Source organism: Homo sapiens, chromosome 15, assembly GCF_000001405.40.
Source record: "Homo sapiens chromosome 15, GRCh38.p14 Primary Assembly".
NCBI classification, from domain to species: domain Eukaryota; kingdom Metazoa; phylum Chordata; class Mammalia; order Primates; family Hominidae; genus Homo; species Homo sapiens.
Genome location: NC_000015.10, coordinates 98,821,698 through 98,830,355, shown reverse-complemented (window position 1 = coordinate 98,830,355; position 8,658 = coordinate 98,821,698). Strand labels below are relative to the sequence as shown.

The 8,658-nt window shown below is 42.0% G+C and overlaps 1 protein-coding gene across 7 annotated transcripts in view, besides 3 other annotated features; it reads right to left on the bottom strand.

The window, feature by feature from the left end:
- Positions 1 to 8,658, bottom strand: part of IGF1R (insulin like growth factor 1 receptor) — a 315,992-nt gene that overhangs the window by 134,175 nt on the left and 173,159 nt on the right. The window lies entirely within an intron of this gene.
- Positions 2,828 to 3,329: an enhancer, noted in NCBI's record as "NANOG hESC enhancer chr15:99370256-99370757 (GRCh37/hg19 assembly coordinates)". NCBI's record gives its function as "activates a minimal SCP1, AML or CMV promoter by ChIP-STARR-seq in naive H9 embryonic stem cells {active_cell/tissue: H9 hESC(naive)}" and the evidence as "EXISTENCE:reporter gene assay evidence [ECO:0000049][PMID:30033119]".
- Positions 6,767 to 7,325: an enhancer, noted in NCBI's record as "OCT4-NANOG-H3K27ac-H3K4me1 hESC enhancer chr15:99366260-99366818 (GRCh37/hg19 assembly coordinates)". NCBI's record gives its function as "activates a minimal SCP1, AML or CMV promoter by ChIP-STARR-seq in naive and primed H9 embryonic stem cells {active_cell/tissue: H9 hESC(naive and primed)}" and the evidence as "EXISTENCE:reporter gene assay evidence [ECO:0000049][PMID:30033119]".
- Positions 7,326 to 7,884: an enhancer, noted in NCBI's record as "OCT4-NANOG-H3K27ac hESC enhancer chr15:99365701-99366259 (GRCh37/hg19 assembly coordinates)". NCBI's record gives its function as "activates a minimal SCP1, AML or CMV promoter by ChIP-STARR-seq in naive H9 embryonic stem cells {active_cell/tissue: H9 hESC(naive)}" and the evidence as "EXISTENCE:reporter gene assay evidence [ECO:0000049][PMID:30033119]".

Sequence of the window (8,658 nt, the reverse complement as noted above, 5' to 3'; positions counted from 1 at the left end):
TGGCAGAAATGAAAACACATGGCAAAGGAGAAGAAAGCTCAGGGAAAAGGATGGTCCAGACAGAACCTATCTGTGTGGCTGTGATGGATAAAGCCATAAAGGAGATGAGTTCTCTGAGAACTCCCACCCCATTTAGAAAGGAAAAGGGCAGGAACACTGCTCTAGAAATCTAGAAGACAGTCCAGGTAGACAGGAAAGTTTCTCTAAGGCAGTGAAGCTTAAGCTGATCTCGAAGGGTCTGCTGAAGGAAGAAGAAAGAGATTCCAGGTTGGGACACAGCAGGGACAAACAACAAGACTTCAGTGGATAGGCTGCTCCATCCCTGTTGTCTCAGTATTAGAAAACCGTATTTTAACATACTAATGGTGGACATTTGATAATCAGTTTGTTACAACTATATGGAACTGCCCCCTAAATTCAATCATACTTTGCCTTTCACACTCTCATTTTCATAATTAAATAGTTTTACAATGAAAAACAAGGTACACGGAGAAAAGCAAGGTTATCAGGTTTCACCAAAACATAGCAGTGGTCAATTCTAGTCCATTTCTGAGATGACCTGGTCTCTGGCATTTGCACATTAAAATTATTTTTAGGCAATGAATGCCAGTATTAGAGTCACCCATTTTTAAGGTCATAATTGCTGCATATAAAAAGATTTAGAGTTACAGACTGTCCCCAAACAGCAGGAGCCCTCGTGGCCTGCCTCTCCTGGATCCGAGAGCCACAGTGTTCTCCTGCTTCTATTTAGAGTATCATGAATGCTAAATAGAAATGTTAAAAATTATTCCACAAAACGAAGCAAAGCAGACATCATCCCCCACAGACCCGCACTCTGAAGTGGTTCACCACTCTTTTGGCTTGCAAATGCATTCTTAGAAGTAGACTCCTTGTTTGTCATCTGAACCCCCAAACATCTTAATTACATATTTGTATAACACCCGGATAGAGGGGGAAAGAAACCAAACCTCAAGTTTTTTTTTTTTTAAAGTAATAGCAGCTTTCACTCTGGAAAAAAACATCAGAGCAATTCCATCGCAGCAGTACTTTGGTTACTTAGCATCATGTCATCTCAGACATGTGTAACACGAAAGGTGTGAAGGGGAAAAGGACATCAGAAACGGCTGCAGCAACAAGGAATCTAGCAAAAATAGTCTTCTGCCATTCTACATGCCAGATGTGGTAAGAAGCTCTTTCAGCCGGACTTGGTAAAATGCCTTGTTTGAATCGAAGTCTGAATTGGCGGTTATTTTTAAATTAATAAAGTTTTTCTATTTGGAAGGACTTCTAATAACATAGAGCAGTATCCTAAGAAGCCCTTGGGGACTTTTTTAATGAATTAGAATAATGTGCAATTAGACCGACAGTTGTAACTGAGTGCTTCGGAGGGCTTGAAAGTAGTTGTTCTCAAGTAGTTCACGTAGCATCAAGTTCACAGAAAGGATTCTAAGGCACTGAATTGCTCGATTTTACAATGCACTGGGATATAAATGAACAAATGCACTCCACAGTACATATTAGGCATTCCCTAGGCTTAAAAAACCCAAAAACTCCAAAATAGGAAAAAAAAAAAAAAAAAAACCATGCTCAGCAAATATATTAGGATAAATATGTATCAGAAAAATATTCGTTTCAGGATTCCTTTAAATAGTAAGTCCGCCTCATGTCTGTGTGTCTTCACAGATCATTAATTTCTTGGCAAAGAAGTTGGGGTGCAGACACCCTGTGGCCACAGCACTGGAACTGAAGGTCAGTGGGAACGTGATGAGAGGGGTTTTGAAAAGTCTGCGCTCCTCTGAAAACATTCTGACTATGCCTTTTCTCTCTCCACGGTTTCCCAAGGCCACTACTCTATCTTCCTCTGTTTGAATCCAAACAGAAGTACAAGGAGTCAGATCCACAAATGAGTCGTTTTATCTTGCCCTACCTCTCTGTGCAGTCAATGGCCAACCATCCTATGGATGGACAGTCACAGGGGCCCAACCAAGGTGTCTTATACGAGCAGGCAGAGGGCTTGCAGTGGCTTTTTGTAGGTTTTTGGCTGGAGCTGAACTAACTGCAAACTAAAAAAAAAGTTCCCAACAGCAGCCCTTCCTGAAGCTGACGGTCTGACTGTGGAAGTTTAGCCCGAGTATTTAGGGTGCTGGGAAGACATGAGAACTACCTTATGTCCTTTGTTTTCTTCCTAAGCAAACTGGGCAGTCTTGTTCATGCAAAACCACTATGGAGTGATCACTGTAACAGGCACGCTGGACCAGAGGGTGAATGCCCCCAGCGGGAATCTCTCCCTAAAGCCTTGCTTTTTCACATCACGCCACCTCCCCTCTTCCAAATTTTGGAGGCGTACTACCAATAGGAACTCACTATCTGACTGATTAATCAGCTTTCAGTAGACAGGAGCGGGACAGGTGTGGGAGAAAACATTTCTTTCCAACTCCCATTCTCCACTGCAGAATACCACAATAAGAAATCTTAGGCCGGGCGCGGTGGCTCATGCCTGTAATCCCAGCACTTTGGGAGGCCGAGGCAGGTGGATCATGACGTCAGGAGTTTGAGACCAGCCTAACCAACATGGTGAAACCCCATCTCTACTAAAAATACAAAAATTAGCCGGGTGTGGTGGCGTGCGCATGTAATCCCAGCTACTCAGGAGGCTGAGGCAGGAGAATCGCTTGAACCCGGAAGGCAGAGGTTGCAGTGAGCTGAGATTGCGCCACTGCACTTCCGATTGTTAACTAGCAGTTTAAATGACCACATTTAATCAGCTAAGTGAGAGTTGGTTTAAAAGGCCAATTACAAAAGAAGTGGTAAATGGCCTTTTAAACCAATTCATAGTATCTCCAAATGCCTTGGTTTACCAAGTCTGAGGGTTTCCTAGAACTCTCCTTATAAGCATTAGAATGAAATCTAGTCCTGGCTCTTTTCCCATGACCACTTCCTCTTTGGTTCATTAAGAATATAAACATTACTTAAATAGAGCAAAGCTCCCTGAGCTAAGGGGTCTTCATGGTATACATTCAAACGGCATGTGAACGAGGTTACAGGGCATAGTGCAGAATCCCTCCTCGGATTCCAAGGTGGCTAAAAATGCCTATGTCAGTGGATTTGCCTGTTTTCCAAGTCATTTGCTCTGAAACTCCTAAATACAAATATGAAAACAACAGCATGAGACTTCATTGTCATGTTTATTTGTTATTCATTCTCTGATTCGGAGTTGGGGGGCAGGGGAAGGATTAGACACAATTTTAAGCCAACCAGCCTCTAAACAGAAATATGGTTTATTCTCGGTACTCAAATTCAAATCTTAGTAACATAGCAATTACATTTTAAAATAAACTATCTCCTTGTGCTTGCTTCTAAGGAGAGTGTTTAGTGGGATATGAAAAGAGTCTAATCCTAGGCAGCCGTATGGCCAGACCAATTATAAACCCCGTAGACTTTTCACACGTCACAGAGAGCAAACTGCTCCAGGAGCAGCTCTTAATACTTTATTGCCTATTCAGGTGCACCTGCACTTTTAAGATATACTTGTCAGCAACAAAATACAGCACTTCCCTCTGTCTTTATCACATTGGTTGCCAGACAACTGCACAGAGCTAAAGTAGGTAATGTTACAGTAAACAGCTCCCTAAAACATTTACATATGTCACTGATAAACAATAGAAAATTTAAAAGAGATACAAATGTACTCTTGGAACCTTAAATCTTCTTCCCACTGAGGCCTAAGAACTTAAAATCTTCATACACCTGGCTGAGAAAAAGGAAACAAATTCCAAAGGAAGTCTAGATTTATAGCCTAAATATGTCTTCCTCTAGAATATTTAATACACTTAAGCTTTAGTCATTCTATACACTTTGAAAATGCCCTTCAACGATAAATTACAGTCGTTGCATTTTTCATTGCAGTTCACTTAAATATCATTTTGCTTTCAGGAAAACAATTATAGGACAGTAAATCACTTTTACATTGCATTCCAAAAATATTTAAGTTGCAACATGGACAATGTGTAGAATCACAAGAAAAATACAGCTTATATATTCTATCATTCAGTCTTCTACAGCAAACGTTAAATCCCTGAGGAAAGTCCTACCGTTAGTTTGGTTTTTAAATATTTAGATTATTTCAGCGTATGCACATAAGTATTAGTGCAACAAATATTTACTGAACTCCCGCAATATGCAGTCATCCAGATTTGGGGTAGAAATTTGGGAATCCCCCTGATTTCAAGATATCAACCACTACTACCATAATTACCTGCTTCATGGGCATTTAACATGGCAGGCCCCAGCCTAACAACTCTACACACACAGACTATACCATTTCATCCCCACAACTTTCCTGAGAGGTGGAGATCATCATTCTGATTGAAAAGTATGGAAAGGTCACCAAGGCCACATGGCTGGTGACACTGGAGGATCTGCCCAACATTCACACCCATAGGGGTGATCAGTATAGCATGCCCTCCATATCTGAGGGCTCCACACCCATGGATTCAACCAACTGCAGATCAAAAATATTCAGGAAAAAAAATAGGATGCTTGTGTATTAAACATGTATGGACTTTTCTCCTTGTCATTATTCCCTAATAATACATGATAACAACTATTTACATTGTATTAGGTGTTATAAGTAATCTACAGATGGTCTAACGTAGTGGTCCCCAACCTTTTTGGCACCAGGGATCGGTTCCGTAGAAGACAATTTTTCCACAGATGGGTGGGGGAGAGGGATGGTTTTGGGATGAAACTGTTCCACCTCAGATCATCAGGCATTACTGAGATTCCCTGCATGTTCAGTTCACAATAGGGTTCTCACTCCTATGAGAATCTAGGACCTCTGCTGATCTGACAGGAGGCGGAGCTCATGCAGTTAATGCTAGTTGGCCTGCCACTCACCTCCTGCTGTGCAGCCTGGTTCCTAACAGGCCATGGACCGGGACTGGTCTGTGGCCCAGGGGTTGGGGATCCCTGGTTTAAAGTATACGGAAAGATGAGCATGGGCTATACACAAATATCACACCATTTTATAAAAGGGACTTGAGCATCTGTGGATTTTGGTATCTGTTGGGGTGGTCCCAGATTTTGGTATCTGTTGGGAGGTACCAGTTTTCTCAGGGAAAACTGTATATGGTGCCACTAATATGGTGCCACTGTATATGGTGCCACTGTATATGGTCTTCTAAGCTATGCCAAGTTTGTAAAATTAAAGAACAAAACAACCGGGCATGGTGGCTCATGCCTGTAATCCCAGCACTTTGGGAGGTCAAGGCAGGTGGATCACTTGAGGTCAGGAGTTCGACCTGACCTCCTGGCCAACATGGTGAAACTCCGATTCTACTAAAAATACAAAAATTAGCCAGGTGTGATGGCGCGTGCCTGTAATCCCAGCTACTAGGGAGGCTGAGGCAGGAGAATCGCTTGAACCCGGAAGGCAGAGGTTGCAGTGAGCCGAGATTGTGCCAGTACACTCCAGCATGGGTGACAGAGCGAGAATCCGTTTCAAAAAAAAAAAAGAAGAAGAAAAGTTAAAAAATAAAGAACGAAACAGCGTAATAGATGATCAAGTCTTAGGAGAGTGACTGCAGACTACAACTGCAACAGAGTGTTTAGGAAAAAATAGATGTTAGCTAGTAAGTGATGATCAAGGAAAAAGCATGGGAAAGAATGCCGAGCAAGTGGGAGAACACATGAGTAACAGCAGTGGGGTGGGAGACAAGGGCCCAGCCTTTTGGCAGAACCTTCAGAAAACCAGCCTAATGGCCCATGCCTCTGGAAAGCAGCAAGAAGATAAGCCAAGGTGTCCTGGGGGAAAGCTGAGTCTAATGGTTAGGACTTCACATCACAGAGAACAGGGAGCCACCATGGTATTTTGAACATATGAGTACCTTACCTAAACGAGTTATTTAGATAAGAAGAAGTCTGACAATAATTTACAGGATGTATTGGAGGGAAGGAAAAGCTGAAGGTGAGACCGAACCATGAGGCTGCACCAGAGAAAAGGCACTGGGACTGAAAGAGCAGAGGAAAACATAAAGGGCATTTCAGAAGAGTGAAAGAGATAGGGAGGAAAGTTCCTGAGTTCTGCCTAATTATGTGAGCCGTTCAATACTCACCAGCAAGTGAGGAGAGGAACCAGGTGGCCGTGCACACAGGGATGTGCATTTGCTCTCTTCGACCTGGGGAGAACGGGCAGCCCTGTCAATATTCTCCACTCCTGTATAGGCTGCTGTCAACCAGTCAGCCCCGAGAATGACAATACTTCCATGTTACCCTCCCTAGTTCCGAGTGCTGGCTATGCGACAAACATATTTTTAATGAGAAAAACTATTTTTGTTTCAGTTTTGTTTGAACCACATCATTCACAAATGACTGAGTATAAGAAACAACACAATTCCAAAAATAATGTTGCTTAATTTTAGGATGTCTAGTCTTTTTTTCCCCCTCTTTCTCTCTCAGAATATGCCTGAAAATAGTGGTTAGCCAAGTTTTTGTTTGTTTTTGTGGTGGCTGTTTTGTTTATTTAAACCAGGGTGAGAAATATTTTCTGGGAGTTTTAACTACTGGATCACAAACAGAAAATGGGGGTGGCAGCTATGCAAAAACCCCTATGATCATGAAACCAAGAAGTTATGGTTACTAAGCACTGTGAATTTAACAGGAGCTTAAAATCATGGCTCTGACACCTGGAAAGATGCCACTGGGCTCAGACCAGCCCTGTGCAGCTCACAACTTCAACTGGAATCAAACCTGACCATATCCCCACTTCTCACTTAAAAAGAAATGGTTTTGGCCGTACTGGTAGAGCAAAACCAGAAAATAGACTTTGAATTAGTCTTCATGCTTTGCAAAAAGGTACTAACTTGTTAAGATGCATCCTCCATGTCTAACTAAGCCTGGTCTAATAACTGTTTTGCATCTGTCCTCTAGCAGTCTGCTGCTGATTGGTGGTGGGAGGGGAAGAGGGAAACAGCTTAAACCATTACTCCTGTTTTGTGGGCATTTGAAGTAGCTGCCAGGCACATGACACCACTGCTCCAATTGGTTCAGAGTGACATCACTTCATGATTCAACTTTGTTTGCATTTCGGCTTCCTCCTTTCCAAGGGGTTCTCAACTTCACCCTGCCAAGTCACTTTCAAACAGAAAGAGAGAGGAACAGCACATCTTATGTAGTCATGAAGTGTCAAATGTCCTTTGTGTTTCTTAGCCCAGTTTATGAGAGGAGACCTGGAGAAATAAAGGTTTCAATCAACACCACAATGGTGTATGACTTTCTTCACAGCATGAGGTGGGGGGAACGGGAAGAAAAGCAAAAGGTGGCTGCTAAGCTTTGAGTAAGTTAAAACTGATGGACTTCAATAAAAATCCTCAAAGTTTGTTTTCAAGTGGGAAAACTCTAAAATAGAAACCACATGCAATACTATGCTGGAACCTCATTTAAATCATTCACGCTTCTAAGACTCAGAGAATGTTTCTAATTTAGTCAAACACTACCCTCTCTTTCTCCAAAATAATTATTCTTAATTTATTTCACCTAACTTCTGTTTTTTACATCTTAGCAATGTGACCACCAAAAGCTGGAGCAACTGCTTTCTGATTCAGAAAATAAAAGTTTATTCTGATTTTTATTTCTGTCTTCCATACAGTCAGTTACCAGGGAACTCACAAAATTTGGAGAGTTCGAGCACGATTAATTTTGTGTGTTCAGCTCAAAGGAAAAAGCTTCCTCATAGGAGAAATGCATTAATGGATGAGCGAATGAATAAGAAGCTTTATAACCCAACCAACCAGAAGCCGAGGGGCTCACTATATTAAATTATACCAGCTCTCAATACAATGGGTCAAAATGTATTTTATTTTAAATTCTAAGTTAGGCTCCAAACTTTACATCGGGACCTTGTAAGACGAGATCTTTTATCATGCTAGACTTTTATTATCCCCTAGGAAATGTAGTGACATTAACCAAACACACAAAGCCATCTCAAGCCTAAAAATGCCTATTACTCCAATCCTGTACTCACTTGCTCCCTGCCAGAGACAACACAAAGAGATGAGTATACACACTCAGGAAAACTTCGCCCGGGCCTTCGAGGTAGGGCGAGGACTGTGCACCACACGAGATGACTTGAAAACCTGTAGGAAGGTTGTATCTCAGTGCCACTTGCTTTGAGGAGACTCACTGGGTAACTGTTTGAGGGTGGCTCTAATGCTCTGCAACAGTCCCTGCAGGGACAAAGAGAAATTTCCATCTTTCTGAAGGCCTAACATCTCTTTTCTTGTAATCTCATTGACTTGCCTTGCCTAGACTCACCAGTCAATTATTATTTATCATTTACAGAGTAGCTCATATTGACAACATACCTACAAGTATTTTAGCACTTCATATACCTTTTATGGTATAAGTACCTGTGGAAGGGAAAGGGAAATGAGTTGGCCTGGAGTGGGAATTAAGAAGCCATCATGAATATACATGTGCCTGTGTGTGTGTGTGCACACATACACCCGTGTGTCTCTCCACGTCTGAGGCCAGCAGCTAATTCCTGCTCACCTTTCAACACTTCTAGTCTTGGCTCCTGAGCCCCAGGTACTCTATTCCTGAAGATCCTTGCAGATATCAATCATCCCAAGAATGGGCTAGTGGTTTCCGGGTTTCATGAAT